Source organism: Homo sapiens, chromosome 9, assembly GCF_000001405.40.
Source record: "Homo sapiens chromosome 9, GRCh38.p14 Primary Assembly".
NCBI classification, from domain to species: Eukaryota; Metazoa; Chordata; class Mammalia; order Primates; family Hominidae; genus Homo; species Homo sapiens.
In genome coordinates, this window is record NC_000009.12 from 69,274,400 (window position 1) to 69,294,702 (window position 20,303).

Here is a 20,303-nt window from a genome sequence, read left to right on the forward strand (position 1 = left end):
CTTTTAGCAAACCAAGGAAGAAGGACTGGATGTGCATGAGTTGCAGGAGGCCTTAAGGGAAGCCAAAAGCTGGAGGTGATAAAGCACAGAGGTATGGACTGATTCAAACTCCCCATACCCCAAATACCTTCTGTTCTTTCTTTAAAAAAAAAAAGTGTGTGCGTTTGTGTGTTTGTGTATGTTAGGGGGATTATAAAATACCAATGCCCAAAACAGAGTCCTAGTAAACATAACATCAGGATAAGAGATGGTCTGTGTCTCAGTCTGTTTTCTGCTGCTATAACAATACCACTGACTGGGTAATTTATGTAAAAAAGAATTTTATTTGGCTCATGGTTCTGGAGGCTGGGAAGTCCAAGAGCATGATGCCAACTTCATGCAAGGGTCATCCCATGGCAAAAGGCATCATGTGCTGAGGAAGCACAAGTGAGAGACAGAGAGAGGAAGTTGGGGAGAATTCAGCCTTTTTATCAGGAGTCCATTCCCAAGCCAACTAACCCAGAACCTAGATAACAGCATTAGTCCATTCAAATAGCCTTCACAACCTAATCACTTTTTATTTACTTTACTTATTTATTTATTTTGAGACAGAGTCTCACTCTATTGCCCAGGCTGGAGTGGGATGGCACAATCTTGGCTCACTGCAACCTCCGCCTCCTGGGTTCAAGTGATTCTCCTGCCTCAGCCTCCCAAGTAGCTGGGATTACAGGCATGTGCCACCATAGCCAGCTAATTTTGTATTTTTAGTAGTGACGGGGTTTCACCATGTTGGCCAGCCTGGTCTCAAACTCCTGACCTCAGATGATTCACCCGTTTCAGCCTCCCAAAGTGCTGGGATTACAGGCAGGAGCCACCATGCCTGGCCCCTAATTACTTCTTAAAGATGCCACCTCCTAATTCTGCACAATGGCAATTTCAACATGAGTTTTAGAGGGAACATTCAAACCATAGCAGTCAGTGTTGGGCAAATTACATTTTATTCACTGCAGAGTCAGTTCCCAATTACTCTTATGATTCTGCAAGTCTCTGTCCATTTTCCATGTCTTTGCTTCCCACATGGCTGAGCTGGCTGTGGCAGCAGAAGTATACCCTTGGTTATCCAGACAGTATCCCTGCATTGCTACAGTGCCACAGTGAGTATGACAAGGAGTCTACAGATGTTGAGATAATGAAGGCACCTGGGAAGGCTCAATAACATTGTATGCTTGTTTTGCTGTTCTAGTTACTATGGCTGTCTAACAAATTACCTCAAAGTTGCATGATAGAAATGAACATTTATTATGCTCATGCATTCCCTGGGTCAAGAATCTGGACACGGTGCAGAATAGCTTGTCTCTGCTCCACCTTGATGTCTGGGGCCTCGACTAGAAGACTCAAAGGCTTGGAGCTGGAATCATCTGAAGACCACTTTGCTTATCTGCCTAGCAGTTGATGCTACTGTTGGCTGAAATCCCAGTTCTTCTCCCCATGAGCTTTCTTTTTTTTTTTTCTTTTCTTTTTTTTTTTTTTTTTGAGATGGAGTCTCATTCTGTCACCCAGGCTGGAGTGCAGTGGCGCCATTTCGGCTCACTGCAGCCTCCGTCTCTGGAGTTCAAGTGATTCTCGTGCCTCAGCCTCCAAGTAGCTGGGATTACAGGTGTGCACCACCATGCCCGGCTAATTTTCATATTTTTGGTAGAGACAAGGTTTCACCATGTGGCCCAGGCTGGTCTCGAACTCGACTCAAGTGATCCTCCCACCTTGGCCTTCCAAAGTGCTGGGATTACAAGTGTAAGCCACCACACCCAGCCCCATGAACTTTCTCATGTGGTTTTTCTGTAAGGGCTTCCTCACAGCGCGGTGGCTGGGTTCTGAAGGTCAGCCTTCCACAATAGGGAAGCAGCAGGAAACTGTGTCTCCTTCTATGACCCAGCCTCACAAATCATGCATCGTTATTTCCACTACCTTACATTCACTGAAGCAGTCACAAAGTCCCACCCAGGTTGAAGAGGAGAGGAAACATAATCTGTGTCTTGATGGAGAGAGGTAAGGTTCTGGAAGGATGTGGGACTGGAAATATGGCTGTAACCAATTTTGGAAAATACTATCTTCCACATTTCCACATTCCTAAGGGAATGCCCCACGGTGCTTCCAAGACTCTGGATAATGATTATTTGAAATAGAGCAAGGGCGACGGTGTTGGAAAGGAACAATGGCTGGCTCTACTGTGACAAACAAGGGTAGATGTTTGGTCTAGCTTCCTTCCACCATCCCTGAGAGAAACTCCAAGAAAAAGGAAGGTCAAAGAAGGATCCTAAGTAAAAAGTGGACACCCAGTAGGTTAAAACACTCCCTCACAACAGAGTTGTTAAGCTTAAATAGTGAATCTTCTGACAAACTTGAAGAACAGAGCTCCATAAAGGCAGGGACCAAGTCTGCCTCTTTCTAAGATGTGTTCAAAGAGCCTCCCACCTACAGCTCCAGCAACGTGTGAACAAGAGGGCCATAGAGAGGGCTGGGTACTGGCAAAGATCCGAGAATAAAGATTGTGTCCCTAACTTGCCCAGTAGGGTTACATTCCAAGTGTCCTAAGGGAGGGCTTACGCACTCAACATGTTGACATTCCACAGGCAGCGCAAGGATTGCAAACCTCTGGGGAGCCCTGTGAAGAGGACCCTTGAGACTTGTATGTGCCTTTTGGCCCAGTTCTTCCGTCATCCTGTTTCTTCAGGAAGGGGCCTGAAAGTTGCAGATGATTCCATTAGAAATTCTGTCTCTGCTGAGAGGGAACATTATTATTATTATTATTATTATTATTATTATTATTATTATACTTTAAGTTCTGGGATACATGTGCAGAACGTGCAGGTTTGTTACACAGGTATACATGTGCCATGGTATTTTGCTGCACCGACGAACCCATCATATACATTAGGTATTTATGCTAATGCTATCCCTCCCCTTGCTCCCCAACCCCCCGACAGGCCCCAGCGTGTGATGTTCCCCTCCCTGTGCCCATATGTTCTCATTGTTCAACTCCCACTTATGAGTGAGAACGTGCGGTGTTTGGTTTTCTGTTCCCCTGTTAGTTTGCTGAGAATGATGGTTTCCAGCTTCATCCATGTTCCTGCAAAGGACATGAACTCATCCTTTTTTATGGCTGCATAGTATTCCGTGGTGTATATGTGCCACATTTTCTTTATCCAGTCTACCATTGATGGGCATTTGGGTTGGTTCCAAGTCTTTTCTAGGGAACATTATTAATCATGTGGATTTGCATGCATGTATTGAGTGGTTATTTGGCACCAGACATTGAATAGGGTAGGAATGTGTCTTGCTGACTCCATAGCCCCAACAGTTGTTCAGAGTTGATGGGGAAATGCTAACACAACGAAGGAAGAACCAGAGACGAGCAAGGTTGGGAGAGACAACCTAAAGAAAAGGAAGAGAAGAGTGGGGGTGAAGCCTCAGCGTCCTTCCTCTCACTGCAACTGCTGGGCTACCCTTTAACAATGAAGTCAAATAGAAGTTAGCATCCAGTAGAAGAGTGGTAGGCTGGGGAGGGGGTGCTTCTCTTCCAGAAGGAAACCCAGGCTTTACAGACTCTTTCTTGTTCTTTCCCTCTTTCTTTCTTTCTTTCTTTCTTTGTTTCTTTCTTTCTTTCTTTCTTTCTTTCTTTCTTTCTTTCTTTCTTTCTTTCTTTCCTTCCTTCCTTCCTTCCTTCCTTCCTTCCTTCCTTCCTTCTTTCTTTCTTTCTTTCTTTCTTTCTTTCTCTCTCTCTCTCTCTCTCTCTCTCCCTTCCTTCCTTCCTTCCTTCCTTCCTTCCTTCCTTCCTTCCTTCCTTCCTTCCTTCCTTTCTTTCTTTCTTTCTTTCTTTCTTTCTTTCTTTCTTTCTTTCTTTCTTTTTTCTCTCTTTCTTTTCTTGAGACAGAGGCTTGCTCTGTTGCCCAGGCTGGAGTGCAATGGTGCAATCTCGGCTCACTGCAACCTCTGCCTCCCAGGTTCAAGCGATTCTCCTGCCTCAGCCTCCTGAGTAGCTGGGATTACAGGCACCTGCCACCATGCTCAGCTAATTTTTGTATCTTTTAGTAGAGACAGGGTTTTGCCATGTTGGCCAGGCTAGTCTCGAACTCCTGACCTCAGGTGATCTGCCCGCCTCGGCCTTCCAAAGTCTTGGGATTACAGGTGTGAGTCACTGCGCCCAGCCCCACTTCCTCTTTCAATATGACCAGTTTTGTTTTTCGGAAGTGCTTCCAACTGGATTCATTAGTGCTGTTCTCTCTTGCTTTAAGTATTACCTTAAATGTCACCTCCTCCAGGAGGCCTTCCAAGGCTGAGTTAAAAGGCCCCACCATGGGATCCCACAGTAGCTTGTGCTTCTCCCTAATAAATAATTGATCAAATTGCTGAAAATGCCGATTACTGCCCCTATTTTGGACTGTAAGCTCTGTGAGAGAAGAAAATCCGTTTTCTTCCATTTTAACTTCAGCACAGGGCATGTGGAGGGTGTTCAATAAGTACGTGTTGGGTTCAAAACAGGAAAAGAGATACTTATTCATTTTCTTCCCTTTAGACTTCCCTGGAGCAAAAGAGAATGGGGAGAAATGCTGGAGAACTTTCATAAGGAAAATACACATCCTACAATATTTTGTTTCTATTAAACAACATTTACACCAGGATTGGGGCTATTATGTTGTAGTGAAATATAGTTGTATTAGTCTGTTTTCACACTGCTGATAAAGACATACCCAAGACTGGGTAATTTATAAAGAAAAAGAGGTTTAACAAACACACAGTTTCATGTGGCTAGGGAAGCCTCACAATCATGGTGGAAAGTGAAAGGCACATCTTACGTGGCGGCAGGCAAGAAAGAATGACAGCCAAGTGAAAGGTGAAAGGGGAAACCCCTTATAAAACCATCAGATCTCATGAAACTTATTCATTACCGTAAGAACAGCATGGGGGGAACCACCCCTATGATTCAATTATCTCCCAGTGGGTCCCTCCCACAACATGTGGGAATTATGGGAGCTACAATTCAAGATGAGATTTGGGTGGGGACACAGCCAAACCATATCAGTAGTTAAACGTTGGCAGTCCTCAAGATTTGAGACATCAGGGTCTGAGAACAGGGAGTGGGTCATTCTAGACAGGTAAGCAGTCATGCTATGTGTTCCTCCATCGGGGAATAGTCAGGTGCACAGCAAGGAGAGAAACTGAGAGGACTGTTTCTTATTTGGGGAGACTTTCTTGCCTAGATGTTGAGTGCTGAGTTTTCTAGATATGATTCCTAGAGAAAATGTTTTGGTTTTGGTTTGACCTTTTTAAAATAAGAACTTAATTTTGATTGTTGTTAAAGTAATGCATATCTATAGTTTTTTTTAATCAAATGTTTCGTAAAAACATCTATAACAAAATAAAGCAGCCCCTATCCATCCTGTCCCCATCCCCAGTTCTGCTCTCTGAGACAATGACTTTCAAACTCAGTCAGCTGGGGTTTTTGTTGTTGTTGTTATTTACCCCCCTATTTCTAAAGATTATGCTGATGCTGCTATTTTTTATTTATGTATTTTGACACTATCTATCCGATGACTTCTTATTTTTATGCAGGATGTGCCTCACTTAATCTCATTCCTACATAAATTCCCTTATCCCATCTTCTCAGTAGGGTTATTTTTGTCAGAGATGATAAGATTCCATTGCATATAACAGGAAATGCAAAACGACAGTGGTTTTAGCAGAATTTTCTTCTCTTTTGAGTAAAAGCAGTTGGGAAGTAGGTCTTTCAGGGCTGGGATGGTGCATCCACAGGTACCTGGAAGAATTAGGAAACACATAGAAAACTAAACAAGTGGAAAAAATGAAGTAATTACTAACTCCAGGAATAAGTGAATAATTAAGGATAAAGGATAAACAATATGAATGCTCTCTGAGTCAAAGTGCCATAAAAATGGCATGAGCATCATCATGTAAACACGATTTAACTCGTGTTTACACGAGTTAAATAATTACACGATTGCCCCGATGGACTGCTTGCTCCCGAGGCCTGATTCACAGCTGTCATCTGGATTTTCCCTTTCTGGGCACCCATGTTAATTCTCCCATGTCTTTCATTCTTGGTTTACTTACTCGTTTTTTGCTTATTTTTGTGAGAATATTGCCTTCCAGTAGCTTCTTGAGACAGTGCAAGGCACTGGAAGGAGGTCCCCAACCTTCCCCCTTCTGGCTTCCATCTTCCAGGAGAAGGAAGGGGGAAGGGGCTGCATTAACGAGGATAAGGTAGGTTACACTGCAGTAATGAACAGGCCCAAATCTCTGGCTTACAAGAAGCAGTAAGTCTCTCACATGACACACCTGTCACTGGTTGGCAGCTGCTCTGCTTCTCTGGCCTTCCCTCTAGGACCCAGGATGATGGAGCAGTTTCTCTCTGGGACCTTACGGATCATCATGGCAGATCAAAAACCAACATATACTGTGCACTACCTCTTAGTACTTTCTAATTGGAAGTGACTTGTGTCATCTCTGCTCATATATCACTATACAAAATGAGACACATGGCCAAGCCTGAGTTGATGGGGTAGGGAATGATAGTTTTCTCCTAGGGAGGGCCAGTGAATATTTGTGAGCACCATCTCGGACAGGAGGTAAGGGGAAAGGCAGCTCCTCTCTCAGCAAAATCGGCGCCTATAAGGAGCCTTCTCAGCAGTCCTACACAGTATCCTCACTTACATCTTAGTGGCAAAACTTGGCCTACTTAACTGCCAGGGAAGCTGGAACATGTCGTATTTTTAGCTTGGGACATTTTACCGAAATAAATAAAGTTGGGGTTCACATACTACAGAAGGTGGGGGAAATGTACATTGGGTAGGCAGCTAATAATCTCTGCTAAATCTCTATCACAGTTTTGAGTTAAATCGTGTTTACATGATGATGCTCATGCCATTTTTATGGCACTTTGACTCAGAGAGCATTCATATTGTTTATCCTTTATCCTTAATTATTCACTTATTCCTGGAGTTAGTAATTACTTCATTTTTTCCACTTGTTTAGTTTTCTATGTGTTTCCTAATTCTCTGATAAGTCTCTTAATGGGCCTATCAGTCATTTCCCAAATGCTCAAACACTCTGCCAGCTCATTTACCCCCAGAGTCCTCCCTCCTGTAGCTCTTTGTGATGGTGCCCCGATGGACTGCTTGCTCCCGAGGCCTGATTCACAGCTGTCATCTGGATTTTCCCTTTCTGGGCACCCATGTTAATTCTCCCATGTCTTTCATTCTTGGTTTACTTACTCGTTTTTTGCTTATTTTTGTGAGAATATTGCCTTCCAGTAGCTTCTTGAGACAGTGCAAGGCAGATACATGTTTAAAGACTTTGCATGTCTCAAAATAATTTTGCTCTGTCTTTACACTTCATTTTTATTTTTATTATTATTATTATTTTTTGAGACAGCGTCTCACTCTGTCACCCAGGCTAGAGTGCAGTGGTGTCATCTCGGCTCACTGCAACCTCCACCTCCCAGGTTCAAGCAATTCTCCTGCCTCAGCCACCTAAGTAGCTGGGATTATAGGTGCGCCCCACCATGCCTGGCTAAATTTTTTTTGTATTTTTAGGAGAGACAGGGTTTTGTCATGTTGGCCAGTCTGGTCTCGAACTCCTGACCTCAAGTGATTCACCCACCTCGGCCTCCCAAAGTGCTGGGATTACAGGTGTGAACCACTGCACCCAGCCATTACACGTCATTTTGTTTGTTTGTTTTGTTTTTTTGTTTTTGAGATGGAGTCTCACTCTGTCACTCAGGCCGGAGTGCAATGGCATGTTCTCTGCTCACTGCAACCTCTGCCTTCTGAGTTGAAGCGATTCTCCTGCCTCAGCCTCCCGAGTAGCTGGGATTACAGGCATGCACCACCACACCTAGCTAATTTTTTTTGTATTTTTAGTAGAGACGTGGTTTCACCATGTTGGCCAGGCTGGTCTCGAACTCCTGACCTCAAGTGATCCGCCCGCCTTGGCCTCCCAAAATGCTGGGATTACAGGAGTGAGCCACCGCGCCCTCCCCCATTGCACTTCATTTTCAATGTGGGAGTAGAATTAAGGTTGAAAACATAGTACCCAGTGATGCTAGAAGACCAGGGCCATTCTGATTCCTGATTCTTCATGTATGAACAGTTTATTTATTTTGGATCTTGTGATGCTCTTAGGCACTTTATTTATGTCTGATGTTTTAATATTTCCCAGAGATATATATGTGAGTGAGCACTTTTTTATTCATTGCACTTGGGCATGTTGTGGGTCTTTCAGTCTGAAGACTTAGGTTTGTCAGTTCTGACTTTAAAAAATCGTTTGTTAATTTTCTTCCTTCTTTTTTCCCTTTCTGGACCTCCTATTCATAAGATATTGGATCTCCTAAATTCATTTTCTAGTTTTTCTCATGTTTTTTCTCTTATTATCCATCTGTTTTGTCTTTGTGTTTTTTCTGTGAGATTTTCTCAAATTTTTTTTTTTTTTACCAAAAGAGCATCAATTTCTCAAAAAATTATTTTATTTTATTTCTTGCTATTGAGATTTATTTTATTTTTTGCTGTTGAGATATTCTCAATGTTATCTTCTAAATATTCTAGTAAAAATGTATTGCTGCTATTTCACTTTCTTGTTCTTTGTTCCTTTAAAGAAATCCTCTTCCAATTTACTATTGTCTATCATCGCACTGAAAATAACAGTGTTTTGTTTTGCTTTAATCTTTTCCTGCTTTCTTCATTGTCTGTTTCCTCTGAGCTCCTTATTCCTTTTGTTTCCTTAATCTCCTTCTTGTGAGAGAGGCTTTCCTCAAGTGTTTGGTGATCCTTGGCTGACCATTCATGTTTGAGAATGAGTCCTAGTGAAGGAAAGTATGGAAGACATATCCAAATGCAAAGACATGCTGAGAGCAGAACAAACAGAACAGAAATGCAGAATAATAGCCGGATTGGCACCACAAACCTGCTGGGCTTTAGTTTTGGGAGCAGGCATAGTCAGCCAGGAGTTTGACTCCAATAAGTAGGGGTAAGAAAAAATGTTTTTCATGAAATCCATAGTTTTTATATTCATCTCAACCATCAAAAAGAGTGAAAGCAAAATGTAGATTATTCAGACATACAAAAACTAAGATGGTTTAATACTCCCAGACTTTCACCAAAAGAATTATTAAATGATGTGTTCAATTGGAAGTGAAGTTAATCTAAAAAGATAAACAAGATAAAATGGTGAACACAGAAATTGAAACAATATGTCAGTGAATATAATTAATTATCAACTGTAAAAATTGGAAAGCATTTTATTTCTTCTTTGCCCCTCACCCCCCGACAGGCCCCAGTGTGTGTTGTTTCTCTCTGTTTTTATTGTTCAACTCCCACTTATGAGTGAGAACATACGGTGTTTGGTTTTCTGTTCCTGGGTTAGTTTGCTGAAAATGATGGCTTCCAGCATCATCCATTTCCGTACAAAGGACGTGATTTCATTCCTTTTTATGTCTGCAGTGTATTCCATGGTGTATATATACCACATTTTCTTTATGCAGTCCATCACTGATGGGCATTTTGGTTGGTTCCATGTCTTTGCTATTGTAAATAGTACTGCAATAAAAATACCTGTGCATATAACTTTATAGTTGAATGATTTAAATTCCTTTGGTTGTATATCCACTAATGGGATTGCTGGGTCAAATGGTATTTCTGGTTCTAGATCCTTGAGGAATTGCCACACTGTCTTCCACAATGGTTGAACTAATTTACATTCCCACAAACAGTGTAAAAGCATTCCTATTTCTCCACAGCCTCACCAGCATCTATTGTTTCTGACTGGGATGAGATGGTATCTCATGTGGTTTTGATTTGCATTTCTCTAATGATCAGTGATGTTGAGCTTGTTTTCATATGTTTGTTGGCCGCATAAACGTCTTCTTTTGAGAAGTATCTGTTCATATCCTTTGCCCACTTTCTGATGGGGTTGTTTATTTGTTTTCTTGTAAATTTGTTTAAGTTCTTTGTAGATTCTGGATATAAGACCTTTGTGAGATGAGTAGATTGCAAAATTTTTCTCCCATTCTGTAGGGTGCCTGTTCACTCTGATGATAGTTTCTTTTGCTATGCAGAAGCTCTTTAGTTTAATTAGATCCCGTTTGTCAATTTTGGCTTTTGTTGCAATTGCTTTTGGCATTTTCTTCATGAAATCTTTGCCCATGCCTATGTCCTAAATGGTATTGCCTAGGTTTTCTTCTAGGGTTTTTATGGTTTTGGGTTTTACATTTAAATCTTTAATCCATCTTGAGTTAATTTTTGTATAAGGTGTAAGGAAGGGGTCCAAGTTTCAGTTTTCTGCATATGGCTAGCCAGTTTTCCCAGCACCATTTATTAAGTAGGGAATTCTTTCCCCATTGCTCGTTTTTGTCAGGTTTGTCAAAGATCAGATGATTATAGACGTGTGGTGTTATTTCTGAGGTCTCTGTTCTGTTCCATTTTTCTGTATGTCTGTTTTGATATCAGTACCATGCTGTTTTGGTTACTGTAGGCTTGTAGTATAGTTTGAAGTCAGGTAATGTGATGGCTCCAGCTTTGTTATTTTTGGTTAGGATTGTCTTGGCTGTATGGGCTCTTTTTTTGGTTCCATGTGAAATTTAAAGTAGTTTTTGCTAATTCTGTGAAGAATGTCAGTGATTGATGGGAATAGCATTGAATCTATAAATTACTTTGGGCGGTATGGCCATTTTCACAATACTGATTCTTCCTATCCATGAAGTTGGAATGTTTTTCTATTGGTTTGTGTCCTCCCTTATTTCCTTGAGCAGTGGTTTGTAGTTCTCTTTGAAGAGGTCCTCTATGTCCCTTGTTAGCTGTATTCCTAGGTATTTTATTCTCTTTGCAGCGATTGTGAGTGGGAGTTCATTCATGATTTGGCTCTCTGCTCATCTATTGTTGCAGTATAGGAATGCTTGTGAATTTTGCACATTGATTTTGTATCCTGAGACTTTGCTGAAGTTGCTTATCGTCTTAAGGAGTTTTGGGGCTGAGGCGATGGGGTTTTCTACATATAGAATCATGTCGTCTGCAAACAGAGACAGTTAGACTTCCTCTCTTCCTATTTGAATATGCTTTATTTCTTTCTTTTGCCTGATTGTCCTGACCAGAACTTCCAATACTATGCTGAAAAGGAGTGGTGAGAAAGGGCATGCTTGTCTTGTATCAGTTTTCAAAGGGAATGCTTCCAGCTTTTGCCCATTCAGTATGATGTTGGCTGTGGGTTTGTCATAAACAGTTCATATTATTTTGAGATATGTTCCATCAATACCTAGTTTATTGAGAATTTTTAACAAAAAGGAATTTTAAATTTTATTGAAGGTCTTTTCTGCATCTATTGAGATAATCATGTGGTTTTTGTCTTTGGTTCTGTTTATGTGATAGATTACGTTTATTGATTTGCATATGTTGAACCAGCCTTGCATCCCAGGGATAAAGCCAACTTGATCATGGTGGATAAGCTTTTTGATGTGCTGCTGGATTTGGTTTGCCAGTATTTTATTGAGGATTTTCACATTCATGTTCATCAGGGGTATTGGCCTGAAATTTTCTTTTTTTATTGTGTCTCTGCCAGGTTTTGGTATCAGAATGATGCTGGCCTCATAAATTAGTTAGGGAGGAGTCCCTCCTTTTCAGTTGTTTGGAATAGTTTCAGAAGGAATGGTACCAGCTCCTCTTTGTACCTCTGGTGGATTTCAATTGTGAATCCATCTGGTCCTGGGCTTGTTTTGGTTGGTAAGCTATTAATTACTGCCTCAATTTCAGAACTTGTTATTGGTCTATTCAGGGATTTGACTTTTTCCTGGTTTACTCTTGGGAGGTGGTATGTGTCCAGGAATTTATCAATTTCTTCTAGATTTTCTAGTTTATTTGTGTAGAGCTGTTTACAGTATTCTCTGATGGTAGTTTGTATTTCTGTGGGGTCAGTGGTGGCATCCCCTTTATCATTTTTTTTGTGCCCTATTTAATTCTTCTATTGTTTCTTCTTTACTAGTCTAGCTAGCGGTCTATTTTGTTAACTTTTTCAAAAAACCAGCTCCTGGATTCATTGATTTTTTTGAAGGGTTTTTTGTGTCTCTATCTCCTTCAGTTCTGCTCTAGCTTTTTAATTTTAAAGCAGTTGCTCCAAGGATTATAATATGATATTTAACTTCTGATAATCTACTCCAGATTAACACTAATTCTGCTAAAATATAGCAACATTGTTCCATGATAGGTTCATACCCCACCCTGTGCTATTATTGACATATGTGTTCAATCCATATGTGTTATAAACCCCAAGATATAACTATGTTTTGTTAGAAGAAAGGATAAGCTAAAATTCAGGTCAACAGTAACATGAAAGGATGGAGGTGGGCAAAAGGATTTCTGTGTGTAAATCATAGGCCTTTTTCAAGTCTTGCAGTAGCATTGAAATATTGAATAGCTTTCAACATTTACAGAAAAAAAAGGCTGGCCTTAGGGTAACACTAAAAGCACAAGCCATGCAAGTATAGAATACAAATCACCCTAGGGAGAAAAGAAGGGAAAATGCAGAAAATGTTATCAATCCATCAGTCTAGAAAAGAGAAAAAAATAAAAATATCTTGAGATAAAATAGACAATATATGGTAGAAAAAGGTCAAAACGAATCAGTAAATACAACAAAGTTAAATATACTACATTTGTTTATTAAAGACAGACATAATCAAATTGGGTCTTTGAGGTATAACTATACTTATGCCAGCCAGGTGCAGTGGCTCAGACCTGTAGTCCCACCATTTGGGAGTCCAAAGCAGGTGGATTGCTTGAGCCCAGAAATTCAAGACCAGCTTGGACAACAGTGAAATGCCATCTTTGCAAAAATAAAACAATTAGCTGGGTATGGTGGTGCGTGCCTGTAGTCCCAGCTACTCGGGAGGCTGAGGTGGGAGGATCACTTGAGCCAGGGAGTCAGGGTTTGCAGTGAGCTGAGATCACACCACTGCATTCCAGTCTGGGTGACAGAATGAGACCCTATTTTAAGGAAACAACAACAACACCAACAAAACAAAACCTGTACTTACAACAGAGACAACTAAAACAAAGACACACAGAAAAGTTGAAAACAGATGAATGGCGAAAGATATAGCAAGCAAATACTAAACAAAAGAAAGCTTCTTAAAGCAGAAAAATTTAATAAACAAAAGCATTAACGGAGTAAAGAGGGACCACTGTACCTAACAACTACAAAATATGAAACTGCCAGAATTATAAGAAGACGTGAACAAATCCACAAACATATTAAAGATTTTAGCATAATTCTAATAGAAATATATATATATTTTAAAAAGATAATGATTTAAAAGATTTAACAATCAAATTAACAAGCAAACTTGATTTAGACATTCTTTTGCAATAACATGAGATATTTACAAAAGATTGCCCACTCACTATTTTCAAAGGAAATCTCAACACACTTCCAAGGACTGATATTTCAGCTCAGACAACATTTTACTAATCATGATGAAATTAAAGTAGAAAGACATTTTAAAATCACACATGTATTAGGAGCTTTAAAAGTGATCTCTTGAATGTCTTTTGGGTTTAGGAGGAAATCACTAGGAATTACATAATATTTAGAACTAAGTGACTAGGAAGGTAGTATACATAAACTTATTGCCTCTAAAACAGTATGTATAGTTGTTTGAGATAGGAAAAACCAAACTGTTTTTCCTACTCTAACTCCCAATACATTCAATACAAAATACTTCACCTCTAATCAACAAAATGTGTGGGGACTTCCCCCACCAACAACCAGTTCTCCAGCGGACAATGAGTTAATTTAATTCAATTCTGACACTACTTACCTGGAGATAGCATCAGATCTCACAGATTAAAGGCTCAGTCTCACAACACTGTTCCCACTTCAGATGCCAGTTACAAATCCCAGGTCATATTTGACGCAGACTTCTGACCAACCAGCTATAAATTGGGGGCGACCATGACCTTGTCTTTGTGTTTAATTAGTTTACAAGAGCAGCTCACAGAACCGAGGGAAACATTGTACTTATGTTTACCCATTTATATAAAGGATATTACAAAGGATGCAGATGACCAGCCAGGTGTCTTCTGAAGATGCACAGGGCAAGGCAGATGGGAAGGGGCGTGGAGCTTCTATACCTTCTCTGGCTGCTCCATCCTCCAGGCACCTCCGCATGTTCCAAAACCTAGAAGCTCTCTGAATTCCGTTCAGGGATTTTTATGGAGGTTTCATCAGGTAGGCATGATTATTAACTCAGTCTCCATCCCCTCTTCCCTTTCTGGAAGATGGGGGTTGAGGCTGAAAGTTCCACGCTTCTAATTATGGCTTGGTCTTTCTGGTGACCAGCCGCCATCCAAGAGCTCACCAAGAGCCACTTCACTAGAACAAAAGATATGCCTATCACCCAGGAAATTCCACGGGATTAGGAGCTATGTGCCAGGAACCACATGATAGTCTAATTCCTTATTATTTTTGAAAAACAAGTTTGAAAATAAATGAATTATGTATCCAATTCAAGAACCTAGAAAAAGAACAATAGAATAACCTAAAGTAAGCAAATAAAATGAAATAATAAAGGAAAAATGCAAAAACTAGAAAATAAGAATTAATAGAGAAGATCAACAATCCTAAAGGTGTTACTTTGACACAAAATATGAAACAGACAAAGTGCTAGCCTGACTGACCAAGAAAAGACAGAAAGGACACAAATATAAAATATTAGGACCAAAGTAGTGAAAATAATTACTGATACAATTGAGATTTTAAAAACAAAAAGAGTGCAATAGTTTTATACCAATAAACCTGAAAACTTTCATGTGGTTGAGACTGCTGGTTTTCCAAACCCATTCTTCTGTTCTTCCTCAATAATGGAACTTCTGATTTTTAGTTAGATGCATGGTGATGTGGTTTGGCTCTGTGTCCCCACCCAAATCTCACCTTGTATTGTAATAATTCCCACTTGTCATGGAGGCACCCGTTGGGAGGTAATTGAATCATGGGGGCAGGTCTTTCCCATGTTGTTCTCTTTTAAGTAAAAAAGTCTCAGGAGATCTGATGGTTTTATAAAGGGAAGTTCCCCTACACATGCTCTCTGGCCTGCCGCCGTGTAAGATGTGACTTTGGCATCAAAAAGCTTATCCACCACGATCAAGTGGGCTTCATCCCTGAGATGCAAGGCTGGTTCAACATACGCAAATCAATAAACGTAATCCATCATATAAACAGAACCAAAGACAAAAACCACATGATTATCTCAATAGATGCAGGAAAGGCCTTCGACAAAATTCAACAGCCCTTCATGCTAAAACTTCTCAATAAATTAGGTATTGATGGGACATATCTCAAAATAATAAGAGCTATTTATGACAAACCCACAGCCGATATCATACTGAATGGGCAAAAACTGGAAGCATTCCCTTTGAAAACCAGCACAAGACAGGGGTGCCTTCTCTCACCAGTCCTATTCAACATAGTGTTGGAAGTTCTGGCCAGGGCAATCAGGCAAGAGAAAGAAATAAAGGGTATTCAAATAGGAAAAGAGGAAGTCAAATTGTCCCTGTTTGCAGATGACATGATTCTATGTTTAGAAAACCCCACTGTCTCAGTCCAAAGTCTCCTTAAGCTGATGAGCAACTTCAGCAAAGTCTCAGGATACAAGATCAATGTGCAAAAATCACAAGCATTCCTATAGACCAATAACAGACAAACAGAGAGCCAAAACGTGAGTGAACTCCCATTCACAATTGCTTCAAAGAGAATAAAATACCTAGGAATCCAACTTACAAGGCATGTGAAGGACCTCTTCAAGGAGAACTACAAACCACTGCTCAACGAAATAAAAGAGGACACAAATAATGGAAGAACATTCCATGCTCATGGATAGGAAGAATCAACATCGTGAAAATGGCCATACTGCCCAAGGTAATTTATAGATTCAATGCCATCCCTATCAAGCTACCAATGACTTTCTTCACAGAATTGGAAAAAACTACTTTAAAGTTCATATGGAACCAAAAAAGAGCCTGCATTACCAAGACAATCCTAAGCCAAAAGAACAAAGCCGGAGGCATCACGCTACCTGACTTCAAACTATACTACAAGGCTACAGTAACCAAAACAGCATGGTACTGGTACCAAAACAGAGATATAGACCAATGGAACAGAAGAGAGACCTCAGAAATAATACCACACATCTACAACCATCTGATCTTTGACAAACCTGACAAAAACAAGCAATGGGGAAAGCATTCCCTATTTAATAAATGGTGCTGGGAAAACTGGCTAGCCATATGTAGAAAGCTGAAACTGGATCCCTTCCTTACACCTTATACAAAAATTAATTCAAGATGGATTAAAGACTTAAATGTTAGACCTAAAACCATAAAAACCCTAGGAGAAAACCTAGGCAATACCATTCAGGACATAGGCATGGGCAAGGACTTCATGTCTAAAACACCAAAAGCAATGGCAACAAAAGCCAAAATTGACAAATGGGATCTAATTAAACTAAAGAGCTTCTGCACTTCAAAAGAAACTACCATCAGAGTGAACAGGCAACCTATAGAATGGGAGAAAATTTTTGCAATCTACCCATCTGACAAAGGGCTAATATCCAGAACCTACAAAGAACTTAAACAAATTTACAAGAAAAAAATCAAACAACAGCATCAAAAAGTGGGCAAAGGATATGAATAGACACTTCTCAAAAGAAAACATTTATGCAGCCAAAAGACACATGAAAAAATGCTCATCATCACTGGCCATCAGAGAAATGCAAATCAAAACCACAATGAGATACCATCTCACACCAGTTAGAATGGCGATCATTAAAAAGTCAGGAAACAACAGGTGCTGGAGAGGATGTGGAGAAATAGGAATGCTTTTACACCTTTGGTGGGAGTGTAAACTAGTTCAACCATTGTGGAAGACAGTGTGGCAATTCCTCAAGGATCCAGAACTAGAAATACCATTTGACCCAGCCATCCCATTACTGGGTATATACCTAAAGGATTATAAATCATGCTGCTATAAAGACATATGCACACGTATGTTTATTGCAGCACTATTCACAATAGCAAAGACTTGGAACCAACCCAAATGCCCATCAATGATAGACTGGATTAAGAAAATGTGGCACATATACACCATGGAATACTATGCAGCCATAAAAAAGGTTGAGTTCATGTCCTTTGTAGGAACATGGATGAAGCTGGAAACCATCATTCTCAGCAAACTATCGCAAGGACAGAAAACCAAACACCGCATGTTCTCACTCATAGGTGGGAATTGAACAACGAGAACACATGGACATAGGAAGGGGAACATCACACACTGGGGCCTGTCGGGGGGTGGGGGGAGGGGGGAGGGATAGCATTAGGAGATATACCTAATGTAAATGACGAGTTAATGGGTGCAGCACACCAACATGGCTCATGTATACATACGTAACAAACCTGCATGTTATGCACATGTACCCTAGAACTCAAAGTATAAAAAAAAAAAAAAGATGTGACTTTGCGCCTCATTTGCCTTCAGCCATGATTGTAAGGCCTCCCCAGCCATGTGGAACTGTGAATTCATTAAACCTTGTTTCTTTATAAATTATCCAGTCTCAGGTAAGTCCTTATTAGCAGCATGAGAACAGACTAATACACATGGCTACATGAATAAAGAAGACATTTATTAGCAATCCTTGTAACTAGGAGTTCTGATCAATGAATTAGAGTACATATTGTATGACAACTTCTGGGAAGTTCTCTAAAAAGTCAGCTGGTATCTACCACTTTTTCTCTCTTCATTATTTAATCAATCAGCTAGCTGGAATGTGGACATGATGTCTGGATCTGAAGCAGCTACGTTCCACCACGAGGTGGAGTTGTGTGTAGGATAGCAGAGCAGCAACATAAAATGAACCTAGGTCCCCAATAACTTTGTGACACTATCTGCCAATCCTGTACAGGCTACCTCTGGAATTCTTTTATGTCGCTGAAAAATGAACTTATAGCTTGTTGAGCCCATGTTATTTTAGGTTTTCTGCTACTTGCAGCCATCAGGAGCATTTGTGATGTAGCATTTCTCAGTGCTGAACTATTGATTACAGAATTTTTTGTCAAGCTTCTGACACCCATCTTGAGAAGTTTTTTAGTATGTGTTGGGCAATTCTTCTGTACACATCTCAGTTACAAAATGTAACGCAATGTCATCTTATTCTTTCTTGGGTCTCATAAAGCACAAGTCTGCAAGGGAAGTATCTATTTAATCAAAGTCATTTCTCCAACAATGAACATCTGTTTCACAAATATCAACTTTCTACCCAATTGATCTGTTTCAGCACCTTTCTGGATAAACAATAACTTCTCGTTTCCATGATGAATTGTAGTGTAATCTTTTTGAAGATTGCTTAACTCAACACACACATATAATAACGCACACAACTGAATTGAAGTTATGATAATGTGAACAGCCATGATGAAGTTCAGTTTTGTACAGGCAGCAACAAATGTCATGACGATTGCTGGTGAACAGAAAATTATACAATGTCGTAGATTGCTAGAGGCAGCCTCATTTCAAAGATAATAAAATGGCTTAAAATCAATGACATATAAATAGGTTTTGATATCTAACAGGGAAAACTCTTTCATCATGATGATTGTTTTTTTAAGCCACTAAATTTTGGGAGTGATTTGCTATGCAACAAAAGCCAAGGGATGAAATCGTTGACAAAGTAACTGGAAAATGCCTGTCTGTAAAATTAATTATACAAATTCCTCATTAAATAAAAAGTTGGACGTCTATCTGTACAACATCAATTGGTGACTGTACATTTTTTGTGCTTATGGTAAAAGTAGAGATAACTTCTGAGTCATTCTCTTTAGTTTAATGTCAACTTGTTCTTTCTGAAAATAACTACCTAGCTTGGGAAAGCTGAAAGTCACCCAGACTTAGGCCAGACAGGAAAGACAGGTGAGCTCAGACAAACCACCACTCACATTTGTGGCTGAGAACTCAGGCTGATATTTATGGATTCAGTCATTTAAAAATATGTGCTTTTAGTGATGAGTAATACACCTTTCCAGAATTAAAAGGTTCTCCCTGTTGTCACTTCCATTCCAGTCCCTGTCCTCTCTTACAGAGGAATAAAATGTCATTTGAATAACCTAGCACTTACATTTTTAAACAGAATATCATTTTGCTATGGATAGAATTTGAAGCTGGGTGATGGCACATTGGGATTCATTGTTCAATTCTCTCTAGTCTGTGGAATGTCTGAAAATTTTCATAATAAAACATTTATTTAAAAGGCTGCCAGGCCAGGTACCATGGCTCACGCCTGTAATCCCAGCACTTTGGGAGGCCAAGGCAGTTGAATCACCTGAGGTCGGGAGTTTGATACCAACCCGACCAACATGGAGAAACCCCATCTCTACTAAAAAAATGCCAAATTAGCAGGGCGTGGTGGCGCATGCCTGTTATCCCAGCTACTCAGGAGGTTGAGGTGGGAGAATCCCTGGAACCTGGGAGGCAGAGGTTGCGGTGAGCCGAGATCACGCCATTGCACTCCAGTCTGGGCAGCAAGAGTGAAACTCTGTAACAACAACAACAACAACAACAACAACACAAAAAACAAAAGGCTGCCACTTTAAACATAGTTTCAAAGAATGATGATTGATTGTTCAATGAGTATTTACCCATATTGGTGTTTAATAATTAGGCACTCATATGTTATTCTTTAAGAAGCATCTAAATCATTTCTGCTAGAGGTAGACTCTAAAATATTTATGAGTGAAATGATATGATGTTTTCAGTTTGCTTTAAAGAGCTCCAGTGGTGGAGGGAGTAGAGTATGGAGGCAATAAGTTTGGCCATCAGTTGGTAATGGTTGAAGCTGGGTTATGGGTACATGAGACTTCTTATACTGTCCTCTCTACTCTAGTGGCTGTAAAAAATGTTCAGTTCATAAAAGTGTTCATAAAAACACTTTTAAAAATGTTCATGGGGCCAGGCGTGGTGGCTCACGCCTGTAATCCCAGCACTTTGGGAGGCTGAGGTTGGGGATCACTTGAGGTAAGGAGTTCGAGACCAGCCTGGCCAACATTGTGAAAACCCATCTCTACCAAAAATATAAAAAATTAGCCAGGTGTGGTGGCACGTGCCTGTAATCCCAGCTGCTTGGGAGGCTGAGGCAGGAGAATTGCTTGAACCCGGGAGGTGGAGATTGCAGTGAGCTGAGATCGTGCCATTGCACTCCAGCCTGGGTGACAGAGTGAGACTCC

At 40.3% G+C, this 20,303-nt stretch overlaps 1 long non-coding RNA gene across 1 annotated transcript in view, besides 2 other annotated features; it reads left to right on the plus strand.

Moving 5' to 3' along the window:
* LOC124902176 (uncharacterized) overlaps positions 1-20,303 on the plus strand; it is a 22,662-nt gene continuing 2,359 nt past the window's right edge. The window contains exon 1 of the long non-coding RNA XR_007061567.1: positions 1-91. This is a non-coding gene — a long non-coding RNA (uncharacterized LOC124902176). The remainder of the gene's footprint in view (positions 92-20,303) is intronic.
* Positions 8,421-9,189: an enhancer, noted in NCBI's record as "OCT4-NANOG hESC enhancer chr9:71897736-71898504 (GRCh37/hg19 assembly coordinates)". NCBI's record gives its function as "activates a minimal SCP1, AML or CMV promoter by ChIP-STARR-seq in naive and primed H9 embryonic stem cells {active_cell/tissue: H9 hESC(naive and primed)}" and the evidence as "EXISTENCE:reporter gene assay evidence [ECO:0000049][PMID:30033119]".
* Positions 9,193-9,694: an enhancer, noted in NCBI's record as "NANOG hESC enhancer chr9:71898508-71899009 (GRCh37/hg19 assembly coordinates)". NCBI's record gives its function as "activates a minimal SCP1, AML or CMV promoter by ChIP-STARR-seq in naive H9 embryonic stem cells {active_cell/tissue: H9 hESC(naive)}" and the evidence as "EXISTENCE:reporter gene assay evidence [ECO:0000049][PMID:30033119]".